The sequence below is a fragment of the Homo sapiens genome, chromosome 17 (assembly GCF_000001405.40).
Source record: "Homo sapiens chromosome 17, GRCh38.p14 Primary Assembly".
NCBI lineage: Eukaryota > Metazoa > Chordata > Mammalia > Primates > Hominidae > Homo > Homo sapiens.
The window spans coordinates 76,431,914-76,452,723 of NC_000017.11; the positions used below are offsets into that span (position 1 = coordinate 76,431,914).

General features: G+C 46.4%; 1 protein-coding gene across 8 annotated transcripts in view, besides 6 other annotated features; it reads right to left on the reverse strand.

Annotated features, from left to right (window-relative positions):
- Positions 1–20,810, reverse strand: part of UBE2O (ubiquitin conjugating enzyme E2 O) — a 63,697-nt gene that overhangs the window by 42,458 nt on the left and 429 nt on the right. The gene's annotated exons all lie outside the window — the stretch shown is intronic.
- Positions 1,948–2,448: an enhancer, noted in NCBI's record as "H3K4me1 hESC enhancer chr17:74429943-74430443 (GRCh37/hg19 assembly coordinates)". NCBI's record gives its function as "activates a minimal SCP1, AML or CMV promoter by ChIP-STARR-seq in primed H9 embryonic stem cells {active_cell/tissue: H9 hESC(primed)}" and the evidence as "EXISTENCE:reporter gene assay evidence [ECO:0000049][PMID:30033119]".
- Positions 4,814–5,315: an enhancer, noted in NCBI's record as "H3K4me1 hESC enhancer chr17:74432809-74433310 (GRCh37/hg19 assembly coordinates)". NCBI's record gives its function as "activates a minimal SCP1, AML or CMV promoter by ChIP-STARR-seq in naive H9 embryonic stem cells {active_cell/tissue: H9 hESC(naive)}" and the evidence as "EXISTENCE:reporter gene assay evidence [ECO:0000049][PMID:30033119]".
- Positions 9,138–9,655: an enhancer, noted in NCBI's record as "H3K4me1 hESC enhancer chr17:74437133-74437650 (GRCh37/hg19 assembly coordinates)". NCBI's record gives its function as "activates a minimal SCP1, AML or CMV promoter by ChIP-STARR-seq in naive H9 embryonic stem cells {active_cell/tissue: H9 hESC(naive)}" and the evidence as "EXISTENCE:reporter gene assay evidence [ECO:0000049][PMID:30033119]".
- Positions 11,080–11,199: an enhancer, noted in NCBI's record as "active region_12806". NCBI's record gives its function as "activates an Ori minimal core promoter by ATAC-STARR-seq in GM12878 lymphoblastoid cells {active_cell/tissue: GM12878}" and the evidence as "EXISTENCE:reporter gene assay evidence [ECO:0000049][PMID:35858748]".
- Positions 12,874–13,033: an enhancer, noted in NCBI's record as "active region_12807". NCBI's record gives its function as "activates an Ori minimal core promoter by ATAC-STARR-seq in GM12878 lymphoblastoid cells {active_cell/tissue: GM12878}" and the evidence as "EXISTENCE:reporter gene assay evidence [ECO:0000049][PMID:35858748]".
- Positions 20,591–20,790: a silencer, noted in NCBI's record as "silent region_9016". NCBI's record gives its function as "represses an Ori minimal core promoter by ATAC-STARR-seq in GM12878 lymphoblastoid cells {active_cell/tissue: GM12878}" and the evidence as "EXISTENCE:reporter gene assay evidence [ECO:0000049][PMID:35858748]".

Sequence of the window (20,810 nt, forward strand, 5' to 3'; positions counted from 1 at the left end):
GCTGTGATCTAACCATGACAGTCAGAACTGATCCAGGCTTAGGGTGGAAGACACTCCCTGTCAGTGTCACGCAGCAGGCATGGATAAATCCACACTTTACACACTCACAAAATTAGATTAGATTCTTAAAAGGCTAAACTAAAAACAATCACTGAGAAAGTCACCAAACATAAATAGCAGCACATGTGCCCCTCAGCAGACAGCCACACAGCATGGAGAATCTGTGAGGCAGCAGCAGCCAAGAGCCTTTGGAAACTCAAGGCCCCCTATCGCCAGGCACACACACCCGACACTCTCATGCACATTTCGGCACAACCATGTCTTAGACCCGTCAAACTGCTACGGAAAGGACTCAGTTATCAAAGTATGTTCCTGTCAATCCACAAATATTTCATCATCCCACTGTGTAAGAAGTACTATAATTGTACTATGAGAGAGACTCAAAAGAAATAGATTGTATGGTCTCCGCCTTAGAAAGACTTATACCCAGCATGCCACGGTACATGTGACTGGTAAATATTTGAAAGCTTGCCCACTGTCCAAGAAAACCTATTTAGCAACCCCTTTCTCATCCTAGGATGCTTGTGGAGCCCCAGATTTAAAACAATTACATCTGTGTTCCTGGAAAGACTTAGGACTTAAAGCCCTTTCAGTTTCTAAGGGTCTTAAGCATACTGAAATAGGAAAGGGGGTTAAATCCCAACATAATGCAAAATGGCTAGCACAGATCCCAATGACACTGACAGGCACCTGCCACAAGAGGTAGCCCACCTGCGAGACTCCATGGGAGAGAGGGAAGATCCAAATGCAGGGTGTAATAAGCAGACCAACAGAAAACTCAGTTCAAAAATAAGCACAGGACTTATTTGAATAAACATTTATCTAAAGAAGATATACACATGGCCAATAAGCACATGAAAAGATGCTCAGCATCACTCATCACTAGGAATGCATGCCAAATCACAATGCAATACCCATGCATGCCCACTAGGATGGCTATAAACAAAGTGACAGTCACAAGCATTGGTGAGCATGTGGAGAAACTGGAACCCACCAACATTGCTGGTGGGTATGTAAAATGGTGCAGTTGCTTCAGAAAGCAGTTTGGCAGTTGCTCAAAATGCTAAACATAGATTTACCTACCATACGACCCAACAACTCCTCTCCTGGGTATAATATCCAAGAGAATTGAAAATATACATTCACACAAAAACGTGGACTTGAATGCTTATAGCAGCATTATTCAGAATAGCCAAAAGGTGAAAATGACACAACAACAAATGTCCATCAACTAATGAATGGATACACAAAATGTGATCTATCCATATGATAGAATATTATTCAACAATAAAAACAAATGAAGTACTGATACATGCTACAACATGGATGAACCTTGAAAACATCACGTTAAATAAATCAGTCACGAAGGCCACATCTAGTATGCTTCCATTTATATGAAATGTCCAAAATAGGCAAACCCACAGAGACAGAACATGGCTTCCAGGAGTTGGGAGGGGTGCAGGGAAATATGGTATGACTCCTAATGGGTATGAGGTTTCTTTTTAGGGTGATGAAAATGTTCTAAAATTAGATAGCGGTGATGACCGTACAACCGTTTGAGTATACTAAAAACCACTTGAACTGCACACTTTAAAAGGGTGAATTTTATGGTATGTGAATTGTCTCAATAAACCTTTTTTTTTTTAAGAGATGGGGTCTCGATCGCTTGAACCCAGGAGGTGGAGTGAGTATTGCGCCACTGCATTCCAGCCTGGGTGACAGAGCGAGACTCCATCTCAGAAAAAAAAAAAAGAGAGAGAGAGATGGGGTTTCGGCCAGTGCGGTGGCCTGTAATGCCAGCACTTTGGGAGGCCAAGGTAGGAGGATCGCTTGAGGAAAGGAGTTTGAGACCAGCCTGGGCAACATAGTGAGATGGTGACTCTACAAAAAACTTAAAAAGAAATGAAAATTAGCCAGGCGTGGCGGTGCGCGCCTACAGGCCCAGCTACAGTGTTTCCTGTAAATCCTGTGCTATCAATTCTATTTTTCAAGTCAAATACCAGAACTTGTCTCAAACTATACTCACCAGAAGACAAAAACGAGCCCTCCTAACATCTTCTACTCTTAGAAATTAGATGAGTGTCCTCCTATAGACTTTTATTTCCTAAGAAAGAAGTCTGTTTTCTTTGTCTGTGGCTTCCATCCATCTTACTTAACCACGTAAGCCTCTCTGGGCCTGACTATAAAATAAGGGGCTCCAGCGAAATGACCCCGAGGATCCCTTCCAGTCTTACCACTATAGACCTAGACATACATGGAAACCCAGCACACAGTCCTATCTCAGAGGTTCAGATGAAGACCCCACCTGCAATAAGCACACGGTGGCTGAAAACTCCTTCTTATTCTGATGTTCCCAGCACAGAAAAGGAAAGTGAGAGGGGCAAGGGTCTATGGGAGAAACGGAGAGGAAGGAAACCCCAACGCGTAGGAAACACAGTCCTACCCTGGAAATCACAGGGCACATTTGTCTTCCTGGAAACTGTAAAGGACACGCCAATAGTCCTGCCATGAACTGTGTTACCTGAGATATGTCTCACAGGAATCACATGAAGAAAAAAGGATTCCAAGCATGAATTAGGGTGACTCCTCGTCCTGGGGAAAGGCAACAGAACCCACCTTATATGGCCGTGGTTTGCTTTTGGGTTGTGGAGAGTCCTTTTAAGAGTCTTGCCTTGGCTTCTGCAAGGAGCTCAGAGTGGTCCCACACTGCTAACACAAACTAAGCAATTCCGACATGGCAAAGGTCAGGAGTGAAGTCGAAAGGCACCTGCGATGTTCTGGAAATGCTTTTTCACTTAAGCTTTTTTTTTTTTTTTTTTTTAAAAAAACAAACAAAAAAACAACTTTGTCTCTGCCCTCACAAAGGTCTTCTGGGTCAAATACCTCTGTTATAGTCCTTCCACCTCCATCGGTGGTACCTCTGGCTACTGAGAAAACCCTGCCCCAATAGAGGGGCTCGGGCGCGCCCATCCAGGGATCATGGATTCCTACACTATCCCCAAAATGGCAGAGCTGGGCTCTCCCTGCAGTGGCACACTAGGCTGGATTTAGCCCAACAGCCTGGCACAAAGGACAACAATGAGGAGAGGAAAGGGGAGGTGACGCACCTGGCAAGGCACTAAGGGATGAGATGCACCAAGCCAGCTGTGAGTCACCACGAAGCAAACGGGAAGGTCAGGATCCAGATCCAGGTTTGTCTGAATCCAAAGCTCTGACCTGCCAAATACAGAGCAGTTGTACAGAAAGCTACTATTTATGTAAAAAGCTAAAATATAAAAAAGGTATACTCACACACATAGAGTTTGGTCACAGTGGCTATCCCTGGAGAGTGAAAATGGTAGGAGGGAGACAAACATTTCACTACATATTTGTTTAAACCTTTTGAATGTTGTGATATTTGCATATATTATCTGTTTAAATATACAGATACACACACACACACATACACACACACACACACACACACACACACACACACACACAAAGATTAAGATTTAGTTTTCAGGTTGGCCTTACGAGGCAGACAAGCTAATTCGCAATATTCCCCCCGTTTACTGCATGGGCTTGGAAACACAGGGAAACAGACGCAGAGCTAAATTATCCCCCAGCAGCAGTGACCACTGGTCAGGTGCTGTGCTGAGCCCTCTCGAAGGTGATCTCGTGCAATCCCCAGTAACTACAAGATTCTGTCTTTTCTAGTCATGGACACTAAGCAATCACAGGTCTACATGCCCTCTCTAAGCCCTGTGTCTGAGGCCTTCTCTGGCTCACCTAACGCCTCTCAGTCCAGCCCTATGCTCGGGAGCCACATTCCCTGAGCTGAAGGCACGACAGACCAGCCTGTCCCGCAAAGCTCAGTGACACCCCGGCACAGAGGGGACAGAAAACAGTTAGCAAAAGGCCCAGTCAGCTGGCCAGAGTTCTAGCCCTCTAGATGCTGCTGACTAGCTGGGGATCCTGCAGATGTCACATCAAATTCTCATCATCGTTAGGCCCCGTGCGGTGGCTCACGCCTGTAATCCTAGCACTTTGGGAGGCTGAGACGGGCGGATCACCTGAGCTCAGGAGTATGAGACTAGCCTGGGCAACATGGCGAAAGCCTGTCTCTACTAAAATACAAAACATTAGCCAGGCATGGTGGTGTGCACCTGTAATCCCAGCTACTCAGGAGGCTGAGGCAGGAGAATTGCTTGAACCCGGGAGGCGGAGGTTACAGTGAGCCGAGATAGCACCATTGCACTCCAGCCTGGGCAACAAGAGCAAACTCCATCTCAAAAATTAATTAATTTATTAATTAATTAACAAATAAAAGACTAGAACAGCCATCCACTGAAATAATAAAGAGAAGTTATCCCCGAGTGGTAGAATTATGGGTGACTTTTTTTTTACCCACCTTTCCTATGTCCTTGCACTTTTGTATTAAGTATATAAATAACTTAATAGACCAATCAGGAATAAAGCTATAAATCTAAGGCAAATAAGAGGATGACTCCAGCAATTTTTCTTCGGTGCTGGATTGTCAGAGACTGAAGAACAGACTATTACACCTGGGACTTTCCCTCCTTGCTGGACCCTGAATCCCCGAGAGCCTAGACGATGCCTCCAGGCCCCTGCCCTGCACGCTGTCCCTCGCCTGCTGCTGCTCTGGTGTCCAGCCACCACCTCTCTACTCAAAAGTGCTATCCAAGGTTCCTCACAACTCCCAAACTGCCTCTCTTTACAAAGCATCCTACTTGACCCCTTGCCCTGACATCAAAAGCCACTGGCTAGCACCCTCCTTCTGAACAAAATTCAAAAAAGGTAACGCCTCTTAGGACAGAGTATAAAATGGGGATTAGTGAAAGATCAACGAGGAGCATTTATTTCAACATTTAAAAGGCAATTATGCTAGGCTGGGTGCAGTGGCTCATGCCTTTGAGAGGTCAAGGTGGGCAGATCACTTGAGGTCAGCAGTTCCAGACCAGCCTGGCCAACATGTTGAAACCATTTCTACTAAAAATGCAAAACAAACAACAACAACAAAACAATTAGCTGGCATGGTGGTGGGCACCCATAATCCTAGCTGCTCAGGAGGCTGAGGCAGGAGAATCGCCTGAACCTAGGAGGTAGAGGTTGCAGTGAGCTGAGATCCCACCACTGTACTCCAGCCTGGGCAACAAAGTGAGACTCCATCTTTAAAAAAAAAAAAAAAAGGTGGCAGGGCACAGTGGCTCACTCCGGTAATCCCAGCACTTTGGGAGGCCAAGGCAGGCGGATCACGAGGTCAGGAGATCGAGACCATCCTGGCTAACACGGTGAAACCCCGTCTCTACTAAAAATACACAAAATTAGCCGGGCGTGGTGGCGGGCACCTGTAGTCCCAGCTACTCAGGAGCCTGAGGCAGGAGAATGGCATGAACCTGGGAGGCGGAGCTTGCAGTGAGCCAAGATCATGCCACTGCACTCCAGCCTGGGCGACAGAGCGAGATTCCATCTCAAAAAAAAAAAAAAAGAAAAAGAAAAAAAAAGGCAATTATGTTAAATGCAATGTAGTATCCTGGATTGGATCCTGGAAAAGAAAACTAATCCAAATAAAAGTGTATGGTTTAGATAACAGTATGTGGCTGATGTTAATATCTTTTTTGCGAGATGCAGTCTCACCACAATGCCCAGGCTGGCCTTGAACTCCTGGACCCAAGCGATCCTCCCTCTGGCCTCAACCTCCTGAGTAGCTTGGATTACAGGCACGTGCCACTGTGCCTGGCTCAATGTCAATTTTTTTACTTTCGACAAATATATATCATGATATGTAAGATGTGAACATTAGGGAAAACTGGGTGAAGGGGATACGAGGACTTTCTGTATGATCTTTGAAACTGTTCTATAAATCTAAAAAATGTTTGTTTAGAAACTGCAATTATGAGGTTATGAAATAGGACAGCAATAAGAATTAAAGGAAGATGGGGGACAGGCTAAATACACGCTTCGAAGGGAGGTGTCTCTCGTTGCCTGGATGCCTCCAGGCATCTAATTTGCAATGTGTTCAAAACGGAATCTCCCTCCCCACTCCTCTGTCCACACTGCTATTACCGGCAGGACCAGCCACCTGGCCATGCTCATGAGAAGCTTGAGTCTCTGCCACGCTTCCCTCTTCTTACTGCCTTTTGGTAGGTGACCACATGTCTACATCCACTGCTTTTAGAAAAGGTTTTTCTAAAAGCTATAAAACTTAATGGTTTGAGGAGTTATTATTTAATTGAGACAGAGTTTCAGTGGGGAATGATGAAAAGTTCTGGGGGTGGATGGTGGGGATGGTTGCACAACAATGGGAATGTACTTAATGGCACTGAACTGTTTATTTAAAAATGGTTAAAATGGTAAATTTTGTTATGCATATTTTACTACAATTAAAAAAGAAAAACTTAAAGGCTCCTCGTCGCTCTTCTGATCACCTCAAAGCCCTGGCACACTAATGTCCCTACTCCTGCTCTGTCTCCCACCTCCCCCACTACACCCCGGCTCAGCTGTACGTGCAAGGCTGTGAAACACATGCTTTACCTGTTATTCCTCAAACGTCCTTCACACCTTTGCGCCCCATCTGAGAAACCTTCTCCAACCACCTCACCTTTCTCTCTACCTCACTACTCTAATAATTGAAAGCTTTATTACTGTTCTCTTAGGTTCGATAGATTTCAGATTTTACTGGGGGGTTAGGTACTAAGTCAAATTGAACATCATTAAAATTATCCTTGAAAAATCCCTTAAATCCATCAGTAAGACCAACATAACCAGTGTTTCCTCTTGCACTGGAACAGATCACTGCTTCTTCCACTGAATACGGAATGAAGATGTTTGTTCACACTTCCGGGTCATTTTGTGTGAGAAGTCAGCACCTCTAGCACTCCACGCCATGCATGCATAGGTGACGCCATGCACACCGAGGGCACAGAGGACACAACTCATCTGCCCCATAAAATCCTCCTAACTGGCCTCCAGGCTTCCTAGCTCCCCACATTCCACCTTGTAAACTGCCGCCAAATCACCCATTGTAAACTCTGATGTAAGTCCTCTTTATGTAAAAAACAAATCCCAACTCCTGAGTCAGTCATCCAAAGACCTGCACACACACAGCAAGCATGACACCAGTGGCCTTTCCAGGGGCAGCTGACGGCGTGGTTTGGAGGCGCTTGCCTGGCTTTAGCCCAAGCCTTTCTGCTCACTGCCTTAACCTCTCCTCCTCTGTGAAGTAAGAACACCTACTTCACGGGGTTCTCCAGTGACTGTGCCTAGAACGCGGCAGGTGCCAACAAACCTTTGTTGTTATCGTTATTTACAGTCCTGTGCAGCCTCGCCTGCCAGCACTCTCTCACCTGACTTCTTCCACCCCACCTCTAGCTCAGTGGTCCTCAAAATATGGCCCAGGGATCCCTGAAACCCTTTCAGGAGGTCCAAAGTCAAAAATTTTCTATAACAAGACCAAGACGTTATTTGCCTTTTTTCCTCTCATCCTCTCCAAAGTCTGCAGTGGAATTTTCCAGAGGCTACATGATGTGTGATGACGTCACTGCTCTGATGGCCAATAGAATGTATGCCCAGGCATTCTTGGTTTTTAAGTTTGTTTTCTTAAATGGTAGATGTTAATAGAAACAACCCATACAAATAAAAGCTCACAAAGCTAAAAAATTATTGTGGTCCTCAATAATTTTTAAGTTAAAGGAGTTCTGAGGCCTAAGTCTGAAACCACTGAAATGAACTTCCTGCCTCTCTTGCCTTTATGCGCACTGGACTTCCCGCCCAGGACGCCCTGCCCTCCACTGCTGCTATTCCAAGCTCTTATCTTTCAAGAGTGAACTCAAAAGGCACCTCCATGACAGCATCTCCTAATGCTCCCCACCACATCCTTCAGCATCTCAACTGTGTCCTGCAGGTGGAACTAGGCTCTCGCTCCCTTATGTGCATCAGTCATTCACCCACTAATTCCACTCATTCGCATGTGTGCAATCTGCCATTTCCCAAGTGCTCACTAAACAAATCTCTCCTAGCACCTACTTTGGGCCAGTCACTGAGGATATAGCAGTGACAGAGATGCTTCTGTGCTTCTCTTACCTTCCGGCTGGGGACAGTAAACAGGACATGAAGTAGTATAATCTCAGGTAATGCCAGGTGCTATGAGGGAAAAAAGCTGAGTAGGAGATCACAGCGATGGTTCTCTCTCCTATCTAAGTCTCTGAAGCAGTGCTACCCAATCCAGTAGCCACTATGGTAAAAAGAACGCACAGTCTCTCATTAGTACTTATCATATGAGTTATATGTTGATATAATATTTTGAATACATTGGGTTAAGTAAAATATATTAAAATTAATTTCATCTCTTTGTTTTTTTTACTTTGAGACAGGGTCTTGCTCTGTTGCCTAGGCTTAAGGGCAATGGGTCGCACGATCACGGCCCATTGCCACCTCGACCGCCAGGACTCAAGCGATCCTCTCACCTCAGCCTACTGAGTAGTTGGGACTACAGGCGTAAGCTGCCACGCTAAGATGATTTCTGTACTTTTTGAAGAGATGGGGTTTCATCATGTTGCCCAGGCTGGTCTCGAACTCCTGGCCTCAAGTGATCCGCCTGGCTTGGCCTCCCAAAGTGTTGGGATTATAGCCATGAGCCACCATGCCTGGCCTCTATTTACTTTTTTCAGCTGTGGCTCACATTGTATCTCTATTTTTCAGGATCCTTCCAGAGCAGAGGTGGGAAAACTACAGCCTGCAGGTCATGTCCAGCCTACTGCCTGTTTCTTAAAATTTTATTGGAACATGACCATGCCCATTCATTTGCTTACTGCCTCTGAATGCTTTTGTGCTATAATGGCAAAGCTGAGTTGTTGTGAAGGAGACAGTATAGCCTGCAACACTAGGACATTTATCATCTGGCCCTTTACAGAAAGTTTGGCTGGCCCCTTATCTAGAGGGCAGGGCCTGTGTGGGGGTATCTCTCTCCCCACAGCACCCAGCACAGTGCAGGGGGCACCCGTGTAGTCAGTGAAGAGAACCTGCATTCGGGCAGCACAAACTGGCCTAAGTTTGAATTTGGGTTGGCCTCCCACTTGCTATGTGGCCTTGGTGAGTTATAAGCTTTCTCTGGGTTTCAGTCTTTCCTTTTCTAAAATGGGGCACTGGCCACTTTAAGGGAAGTGAGATGACACAGGTAAAGTGTGAGTTAACATGCCTGGCTCACAGCAGGAATCCATTGACACTGGCTGGATAAAAGACAGCAATTTCATTAAAATGCTGAATAATCATTCTCCTCTTGGATTGGGTGTGTTATACTCAAAACAACTACCATATTTACATCCTAAAATGAAATGAAATCAAATGAAACTTCTTAGCAACAGCAGTGCATTAATAATAACCACCAGCAAGCAATGGGGAGGAAGAAAGAGGCAAGCCTTTCTAACACTAAAGCACTGGCGGATGATGAGTCCGCCTCATCCCTTTCCTGCCCCTCCTGCAGCCCACCTTTGGACAATTCCCGGTTCATTAACACTGGCACTAGAAGAATAAGCAGAGGGGAGAGAAAAAGCCTCGAACCAAAGACGTACTAAAACTGAACCCATTGACATCAACGAGGTTTGGAAGGGCCCATATAAGTGCAATTCAAAAGACAGTCCCAGCCAGCAGCATCAATGTCACTGGGAGTTTGTTAGACACGCAGATTCTTCAGCCCAATGGAATTAGGACAATTTGCATTAGGAGACCCTAGGTGATGGCATGTGGCATTCACCTTGGAAAAGTGCTGGATTAGAATCCATTTATTCATGCTCTCTTCACTTCCCCCTCCCCCTCCACTGATAAACAGGGGTGGTTATATCTACTTTCAATAGATGGTTCCTGACTCCTTCAAAGTAATAGGCCTGGCATAGCCACTGCAACTCCAGGCCCCGCCCCCAAGGGTCTTGGTGCAGGCAGAGTGCATAGCCTAAGCTGCGTTCCTGATTCATTTGCAGTCGGGTGGGGCATTCTTTTTCCAATAGAGAGCCTCGTTCGTACTTAGCCATCCTCCTAAGGTGAGGACTGGGTGCTGATAACCATTCAGGAAACCCACGTGTGTGGAATCTGCCATTTGTCAAGTGCTTTAGGCGGGGTTCTTACAGGGGAAATGCAGCCAGAAGCAGCTTCATTTCGACCACAGGTGACACCAGCTCTAGCTAGCTCTAGCCTAGTCCACAATGCACGTAGTCTGCCTGGGGAGCCCGCGACGGAAGTTGCCAAAGTAGTAACTACAATATGGTGTATTCTGATTAATCTGCTCTTCCTAGTATTAGGATGCCCATACGTCCCAGTCCTGGAGTAATTATTCATAGTACTCTCAAAAGAACCCAACTTGGGCAATAAATTACTGTACATGGTCAACACACCTAGTACGGGGGGTGGGAGACAGAGTGGTCTAGTAAGGGGCCCATACAGCTCCAGCACAGACCACAGGGCATCTGGAAGAAGACTAAGAATACTATTTGTAGTAAGTGGGAGGGAGCAAACTGGTCATTCATGAAGATGTTTCCCAAGAGTCTGCATGTGCGTGATAGCACACAAGCTTTAGGATTTGCTGTCTCTGTTTCTCAAGGAGCTTCCCATCCAGGAGAGAATGTGGGTGTGCCATGGGGCATGAGAGGAAGGGAACGGCACAATTGAGTTGGGGAAAAGCAGTCAGATTGGCTGGAATCAACTGAAGAGGCAGGAGATAGAGCAGGATGTGTAGGTGAGGGGCCCTGAATGACAACCAAGGCATGATCAGAGGCTGGGTCCTGACACAATCCAGGCGATCACTTGGGAGGTCAGCCCTTTGGAGGTCAGTTGGCGGCAGCGCTGTTCACTGGTTGAAGGAGGACTAGAGGCAGGGAGACCAGGGAGAAGGCTACACAGTGCAGGCATGAGGCAAGCAGAGAGCAAACCAGGGTTGTGAAAGGGAAATGCAGGCACAGGATGCAAGAGGCCTCTCAAAGAACTGATGACAAGTTAGAATGAGGGCCAAAGAAGGTAAATTAAAAATGACCCCAAATGCTCTAATTTTGAGAAGATTCAAGCTTAGGTATTTAGGGGTGAAGTGCTATCATGTCTGCCACTAACTTAGCAGGAGTTAGTACCAGACATAATTCAGGAGGAAATATATTTACATAAGCATACAGATAAGGCAAATATGGCAGGATGTTAACAACTGCTGACTCATAATGGTTGGGGGTTAGCAATTACTGGCTTTCAACATTTTGGTATGGTCAATATTTTTTCCTATTAAAAAGTTGGGTCTTGGGTTCAGAACCAAAAACAAAAAAAGTTGGGGAATATATATATATATTTTTTTCCTCGAGAAAGAGTCTCACTCTGTCGCCCAGGCTGGAGTGCCGGGGCACGATCTCGGCTCACTGCAACCTCTGCCTCCTGGGTTCAAGCAATTCTCCTGCCCTAGCCTCCCGAGTAGCTGGGATCACAGGCACCCACCACCACGCATGGCTAATTTTTGCATTTTTAGTAGAGATGGGGTTTCACCATGTTGGCCAGGCTGGTCTCGAACTCCTGACCTCAAGTGATCCACCCACCTCGGCCTCCCAAAATGCTGGGATTACAGGCGTGAGCCACTGTGCCCAGTCAGAACATTTTTTTTTTTTTTAAGTCCACAGACTTGGGGATGGGAAGGGCAGTCACAATCACAAGATTTTATACCCACAAAGTCTACATGGCACAATGGAGCTATCAAGTAAGCAGCTGGGCATGTGATGTCACTGTGGAAGTCACCTAAATACAGGTACCAGATGCAGCTACAAGCAGGGAGGTCACTCCAAAAAACTGGGGAGGAAGAGATAAAGAAAAGAGAGGTCTTTGGAAAAGCTGCACATCTATGGGTAAGAGGAAGAAGACAAAAGGCAAAAAAGAGAAACATTTGGTATAGTCTGGTATAATAGAACCCCAAGGAAGGAAATACCGTTAAGAGGGCATGGTCGGCCAGGCGCGGTAGCTCATGCCTGTAATCCCAGCACTTTGGGAAGCTGAGGCGGATGGATCACCTGAGGTCAAGAGTTCGAGACCAGCCTGACCAATATGGTGAAACCCCGTCTCTGCTAAAAAGACAAATATTACTCGGACGTGGTGGCGGGAGCCTGTAATCCCAGCTACTTGGGAGGCTGAGGCAGGAGAATCGCTAGAACCCAGAAGGCAGAGGTTGCAGTGAGCCAAGGTTGCACCACTGCACTCCAGCCTGGGCGACAGACTGAGACTCCATCTCACAAACAAAGCAAAACAAAACAAAACAAAACAAAGAGGGTGTGGTCAGCTAGGCACCGTGGCTCACGTCTGTAATCCCAACACTTTGGGAAGCTGAAGTGGGAGGATCACTTGGGGTCAGGAGTTCGAGACCAGCCTGGCCAATACCATGGTGAGACCCTGTTTCTACAAAAATATTTTAAAAAGCCGAGTGTGTAGTTCCAGCTGCACAGGAGGCTGAGGTGGGAGCACTGCTTGAGCCCAGGAGGCGGAGGCTGCAGTAAGGTGTGATCACGCCACTGCATTCCAGCCTGGGTGACAGAGCATAAGGCTGATGGATCAAAATGAGGACAAGGACTGAGAAAATGTCAGCAAATGCAGTGATCAGAAATTCACTAGTCATTTGTGACCTTCAGGGGAGCCGTCACACTCAGTGGTGTGAGAGGTTAGACAGAAAATGACTGAAGGCGAGAGCAGGTCATGAGGAAATGGAGGCAGACATCCATTTCCCCCAGTACAGTGCTGGGATGACCCAAAAGCACACTGGGGGACCAGAGAAATGCTTTCTTCCTTGGCTTGAAGATGATGTCATCAACCTTCAGGGCCCTCAGAATCCCTTAAATAATAAAACAGTCAGAGCACATGAATACCGGGATGCTTTCAGCACTGCATATGTCAAGCCCTGAGGCTCCCAGAATCCCTGGAGACGTATTTGTGTGTCTACACTTCCCACCTGCACTAGCGGTGACCACACACACAGTCCGGTGACCACACACACAGTCCGCTGAATCTGCCGGTCAAGGTATCTATCTTCAACTGCCCTCTTCCAGAGGGAGCTCCCACAAAAAGGACCAGAATTAAAAGGAGGAGGAAGAACATCATCGGAGCTGCTGAGTGTGAAAAGACCAGCTCTCTTGCAGGATGCAAATGAAGGCCTCTCTTTTTAAGGGTGCCTGCAGGAAATCTCTCTGTCAGTGCTAGCTGGGAATATTCATGTCATTGTTGGGTAGGACTGACTGCCTTTTTTTTTTTCTTTTTCCAAGCATGACTCAGTGTTTTAATTTTTTTTTTTACTTTCAATTATCATAGTCAGACTGTTTCCCAGGTATAGTTATGCTATCAATTTAAACCAAAAGTGACCTGAAAAATGTCTTACTCCTTTGACTTAGCTGCAGAATATTAAATATTGCTGTGGCCTCTCTAAAAATGCAAACCAACTCAAAATCCCCCAACCAAAGAACCAGATTAAACCCAAAAAGGACATTCATTCCAATCCTTATTGCCCACTGAATACTTCTGAGTGGTATGTCAACTGACTGCAATGTTTAAACCATAAAAATGTGCTTTTCACAATACTGCTTCAGGAGAACACAGCCTACCTGTGTCTAGGGGTGACCTGGACAAAGCTGACCCAAGGATCCATCCAATACAGTCAGCCTGGATTGAAGGACATTAAATCCTCAATCACAGAGTATAGCTAACGAATGAAACAAAGGCAAATAACTTGGAGTAGATAAATCCAGAGAGTTATCCAGTAACACAATTCAATTTTATTCTCAACTACAGCAAATTCCAATAAGCATTTTGCTCTTCCCTGGCTATAACTGCACACATCAAGTGGCTCCTGACAGAGTCCCCCCGTGGCTGGCTGGAATGTCAGAAGATGAAGCAATTCCGAACGGGCACTCTTGCTCAGTAAGAGCTGCAAATGTGGATGGGCAGCATTTAGACCATGACCTTCTCCAGGACTGGCACCCATTCATGGGCAAGTGGAGCCTCAGGAAGGAGCTACAGTTAAAAATACCGAGATCCTATTAAGTGAGAAAAGTGATAGCCTCTTGTAAACTGGAAAGCACATTATAGACGTTCCTGATTGTAACTTGCCCCTTTTGATTGTCATTTTAAATCAGCAACTCCCCATCGCCATCCAGAAGCAGGCTAAGCCTTGGGCAAGGAAATTCCAAAAGCTTCCATCAGAATAGGAGCACAGATCATATCCTCCTGGGTGAAAACCCACATGTCACAGAAAACCACCCTGACTCCAACTCTGAGGGGACCGACCACCAGCGGCAGCTGACACTGATCACGTGCCCAGGACTGTTGTGCTGGCAATTCATGTTATACACGACAATTGCACCCTTTTAAAAAGTGCTGGCCCCCAACAGGTTCCACTGGATTCCATGAGCCCCCATGGTGGGTTAAGTAGTAAAAAATAGAAAAAGTTCCTCTTAGTATAACAGGAAAATGAAAAAACAAAAACAAACAAAAAAAAAAACCAAACAAACAAAACAGAGAGAAACAGGGATAAAAGTGAAGTAGAGATGGGGAAGGTGCAAAGAGGCCTCTAATGTCCTAAAGCAAAAACACACGGAAACTGAAGGGAACAGAAACTGAAATTGAGGTGGAACTCAGCCTCTCCAAGGAATCCTTCCTGAACCTGTCTCATGACTCAGCATTCCCAGCCGAAGGATGACAGCAGCAGAGCGGACAGGAGGTCAAGTTGGAGCTCCTAATGGAGCTGACCACTTCTGAGGCAACACAGAAATGCCAGTTACGTGGAGTGTCTGCACACTTGTTTTGCTCTAGGAGGTGGAGTTGGGGAATAAAACTGAACTGCAGTTCAGTGTTGGAATGAATCAGACTACAGAGGTTGCTTCATTCAACATTGAGGGGCAGTCAAAGGTTCTCTAGAAATGCAATGTGTTTTTGACAGTTATTTTGAGAATGACTGAGGGGTCAGGGAATGAAAAGAGTGGAATCTGCAGAAGCACACCGCCAGTGCGAATGCAGTGTTCCTCCCGTCCTGCTCCCTACCCATCATCTCCCTCCCTCCTGCCTGCCCACTGGCACAACTTCCACCTATCCCAACATCCTGTGCCTCTCTCCTTCCTCACTTGTAGTACCTCCTATTACACTAAGACTTTCAACTGTTTAAAGAAGGGATGATTAATGCCAACCACAAGGCTTGTGATTCATGTTGGATCAGGGCACTCGGTCACGTATAGTAATGATCTCTGAATCCTGAACTTAAGTATTCTCAGGTGAGAACAAAGTACATTTAGTTCAATTTGTATTCAGATTCCTCCACTTAGAAGTGTGACACTGGGCAATTTACTTAACCTCTCTGTTCCTCAGCTTCCTTCTCTGGAATATGGGGCTAATAATAGCACCACAGGGTTGTTGTGAGCGTGAAGTAAAACATCTAAAGCACTAAGAGTGCCTGGCACACAGTAACAGTATCCTGGATCATGACTGCTCTTATTACCTTAAAATATAAAGCAATACTCTATCATCTTTGTAATTTATAATCTCATTACCAGTCTTGAGAATTTCAAGAGACCTTTCAGACTCTGGAAACATACATACATACATACAGATTCATTCCATCCCCCTCCTGGAGGACGGCCGGGGTTACTTTAAATGTGCATTACTGAATTTCTCACAAAGTAACAGAGGTAGGAAGTTCATGAGTATTTCTAGAAGAGGTTTAATAAAGTCAAACCTATAATCCATCTGGTCACTAGCAACACGAGCCATTAGGAATTCCTATGCCCCTGAAACAACCACCTTCCCCACAACCCGCCTCGTGCACCTTTTGCTTCCCAAGGTGCCTCTTTGGTGCAGCATCACCCTCTTTCTCATGGAAGTGATCTTCTGAAGGCACAGGGCTGGCTCTCTCTGACAGACATCAGAATGCTGTCTGCTAATAACCAAGTGGCCATCCTAGGCTTGACCCAGCTACACTTCTGGTTATTCCATCCGAGCAGGATCATATCGGGGTTAGGAAGATAGACCTCTTATTTCATTGCAGAGGGAGAAAATGAGGCAGTGACTTGGTCAAGGTCATTCAGAGTAGGTGACAGCCAGGAAGAGCACCCAAGGGTTTTGGCTTCCAATCACAGTACAAAACACACACCCTTCATCTGGGGAAAGTACCCTTGAGTCAGGCAGCAGCCAGACAGAAGCACCATCAGGGCACTGAGGCCCGAGGGCTAGAAGGGGAAAAATCAAGGGACAAAGAATAAAATCACAGAACAGCTGTTAAGAGTCTACAAGTGCTGTGATCCTATCTGAATAAAACGCAATTTAGATTCACTTAGTCCTGCATCTTGGTTAACCTTATATAACTTCTTCACATTACATCACTAAGAACAATTGCTTTTAATGGGCCCAGCACCCAGACAAGTGAGACAAACTTCACGTGCCATGATGCTACACCTAAATAGCTTTCCCCATGGAAATGCTGGCCAGCGTAGGAGCCAAAAATAAACTGCAAAGCCAATTCCCGAGGGACCTGTCATCAGGGATGTTTCACACACACAGCTTCATAAAAGCAGGGTGATCACAGACAGCCCTAATTTAGAGGCACTATATCTCAAACCTGGTGAAACCCTGAATGTCATGGCAACTTAAAACAAAAGACAATGCAAAAGAGATGAAAAAGCACAAGAAAGCTAAAGCATAAACGCTTTGCCTCCGAAACGAAGGCTGAACTTGAACTGACAGACAGCAGTCCTGCTCCCTTACCTCGCAGGGGGCTGTTCTGCCCAACCATGACAGGTGGAGACCAGAAGGACCCACCACGTCTAGCCAGTGCTCATGAAGGTTTAAGTGGCTGCTGGCATTTGGCTTTGTTACAAAATTTTATTCAAAGGATGACTGGTGATGGGGAAGGGGCAAGCCTCCTCTAAGGAGATCCATGGCCAGATGGACAGTTTCAAGTGGCTACCTCGCTGAACAGGTCAGAAGACTGGAGAAAGGAAGAAGCATATAAGAGACACTGGCCACTAGCTCCTTTTGAGTCCTTAAGAGGCTTAATTTTGGTGGCTGGAAGCCTCAGGAACACGACAAATTCCATAGCTTCATGGAAGAACTTACTTTGTTTCTGTTGCTATTTTCATGAAGGCAGCAGGGAAAGGACATGACTTGCTGCCCAGTCTCTTCATCTCTCTTTGTAAATTTGTTCACTAAAAACTTGAGACTAAGATTAAGCCTTTACTCATTGCCCTCCAATTTACAGAGAAAACTACAAAAATACGCCACACCCTATGAAACACTCCACATTAAATAGATACTACTAAAAAATTTCAATGGGGCAAGGCACTGTGGCTTATGCCTGTAATTCCAGCACTTGGGGAGGCCAAGGCCGGTGAATCACTTGAGGCCAGAAGTTCAAGACCAGCCTGGCCAAAATGGCAAACTGCCGTCTCTACTAAAAATACAAAAATTAGCTGGGTGTGATGGCGCATGCCCATAATCCCAGCTATGCGGGAGGCTGAGGCACAAGAATCACTTGAACCCGGGAAGTTGAGGTTGTAATGAGCTGAGATCGTGCCACTGCACTCCAGCCTGGGTGACAGAGAGAGACTCTGTTTAAAAAAGAAACTCACACACAAAAATTTTCAATAGGTAGCAGCTTATTAAAAAAAATAAGTTTCGGGCGGGTGCGGTGGCTCCTGCCTGTAATCCCAGCACTTTGGGAGGCCGAGGCGGGCGGATCACCTGAGGTCAGGAGTTCAAGAACAGCCTGGCCACCACGGAGAAACCCCGTCTCCACTAAAAATACAAAAAATTAGCCGGGCGTGATGGCGTATGCCTGTAATCCCAGCTACTCGGGAGGCTGAGGTAGGAGAATCGCTTGAACCCGGGAGGCAGAGGTTGCGGTGAGCCGAGCTGGCGCCATTGCACTCCAGCCTGGGCAACAAGAGCAAAACTCCGTCTCAAAAACATAAATAAATAAAAAATAAGTTTCTCAAAACCATCACTACTGTAGTCCCAGCTACCTGGGAGGCTGAGGCAGGAGGATTGTGTGAGACCAGGAATTCAAGGACACCTGAGTAACAGTGAGACCCCATCCCAAAAATAATAAACAAACCAGTAACTCAAAAAAAAAAAAAAATCTGCCACTACATTATTTTGTCAATAATTGGGTTCTCAAATCTCATAACTAGATTAGTCAATCTTGGTCTAATGGTCTTTCCTTTACGGCATACTATCACCTTGATGGAATTCATAAGGAGCAGGAGGTGAGAAGAAAAATCATCCTAAGCCACAGTTCTGCAAGGTCCCAGGACCCACCCTACCACCCTGCTTGGTGGTCAGTAACAGACCAGGAGACATTCAGCTAATCAGTCACCTGTATCTATAGCTCATGGTAACAGAGCTACCTATCAGGTATAAACTCCACCCTCCAAAACAAACCTATTCTAAATCCTAAAAGAACTATATCTTGCCACCCATAAATGGGCATCCCATTCCACCACTTCCTTGGAATTTCTGCGTCCCTTGGCTTTTGCTAAACCCAGATGCTACAATGACAAAATACCACCACCGAGCCACAAAACGGATTTCAACAAATTCAAAGCAAGTCACAGGAGGCCAGCTGCAAAATCTATCCAAAGTGGTGCCTCAAAGTTGTTGTTTTTTTTTTCTTTTCTTTTGAGACAGAGTTTAACTCTTGCTGCCCAGGTTGGAGTGCAATGGTGCCATCTCAGCTCACCGCAACCTCCGCCTCCCTGGTTCAAGCAATTCTCCCGCCTCAGCCTCCCGAGTAGCTCAGGTTACAGGCATGCGCCACCAAGCCCAGCTAATTTTGTATTTTTAGTAGAGACAGGGTTTCTCCATGTTGGTCAGGCTGGTCTCGAACTCCTGACCTCAGGTGATCCGCCCGCCTCGGCCTCCCAAGTGCTGGGATTACAGGCATGAGCTACCACACCCGGCCGTTGTTTTCGATTTAACTCCAAAATAGGTATTTCAAGTCAAACTCTGTATAATTACACATAGTGCAGGAGGCAAACGGAGCATAACTGCAAACAAAGTTAACCACCAAAGTCAAGACGGACGGGAACAACAACTGATAAACATAGCGGCTCCCAGTAGTGAGCTGGGCCTACCTCCCTGAGTCCTAGGGCAGGAGGCCACAACACAGAGGATGCTGCAGTCAAATGAGTTGCGTTCCAAAAATCACGAATCTCTCAAATAGATGGGTGGTGAAAAACATTCTTAAAAACTCACAGAAAGACACCAGCAATCATCTGGTGTCACACAGTATACAGCAATAACCCTCTTTTACTGACACAATACTGGGTAATTTTTAACAAGCATTCTGTTGCACAAAAGTAATATTTTCCAAATACTCTTGTAAATGGACTGATAATTTTCCTTCCAAGTCTCAGAGCTGTTGCCTGATTCACATTTCTCTGAGGGGAAGCAGGGTCCTGTGTGTGGATTTGTGTCTGTGGATGTATGTGCATCCCCAACAAAAAGACCCCGCTGGTATCAGCAGTCACTTCTGCCTCTAGGAAATGGATCATGTGCTCTTCTCTGGAGTGGGGCCTTTTTCCTTCTCAAGCCGTTGTCACAGACCCCGCTTTGTAGTTTGACATGAAACCCCGTTCCTCTGTAGTCTTTGTCTCCCACTGTGTGAGAAACCCAGATCAACTTCCAAAGTGCCCTCCCCTGAAATCAGACCTCTCAACCTCCCAAGGACCTAAAACAGCGTAGGCCTGATTCCTGCTTAGAAATGTTTTCTTGAAGGGGAGGGGAAGTAGGAGAGAAAGAAGGGGTGTGAGATACAGGGGGGTGTGTGTGTGTGTGTGTGTGTGTCAATTACTGATAGGAATTCACATTCTGGAAAACAAGCCACCAAACCAACCCGGGTTCAAGGTTTCGGGTTTATGATGACAAGCCTCTTTGTTTTGTAAAACTGCTATACTCACTAGCATCACCCCAAAAACCATACGGGAGTCAGATGTCTGCTTAACAGCTTCAGGTCAAGAAAAAACCTTCGGGTTTCCAAATTGGTGACTCCCCTCTACCCAGGGTTCTGGATTATTTTTTTCAAGGAGTCCATATGCACTTAGGAGTCATCAATCCCGGTCGCAGCTGTCAGAATCCTCCCCCCCAAGTACTATTCATACCGGGGCTCTGATTGCTAATGATTTTACTCACAAAGTTCCCTGCAGCAATTAAAAGGAGGCAGCAGGGTAAAACAAAAAGAGGCTGGGTGGCTTCACCATAATGCAGCCTGTAAGCTAGTGAACTTCTTGGGTTCGGCTGGGATTTTCACCTCTATCTTTGTTTTGGAATGCCCACAACCCCTCCCTGCACGGACCCGGCACGGCCTTCATTTCTGGATGCACAATGCAGTACCGAGCTCCTTGGGGGTCAGCAAAACGCCGCACTGGTGTAACGCCGAACGCGCCCCAGAACCTGAGTCCCCACGGGAGTCGGTCCACGTCTCTAAATCTCGAGGCCGACACCACAGCATAACATGTCTTAGAAGTCCCCTCAAGTCGGGAAGCCCAGGGCCCGCCCGGTCCCGGGCCAGCAGTGCCTGGCTGGCGTGTGCGCCCAGAGCTGCTGCAATGACTTTGCATGGAGTGTACCCTCCACTGGGGCTGTCCTCCCGCGTCGGCCACTGCAGTGGCACCGCTCCGGGCAGGGCCCTGCACGCCGTCCTTCCCTGGCCTCGGCCCGGCCGCCGACCCCCTGCCGCCCGCGCCGCCCAGCCCCCGCCCGCCGCA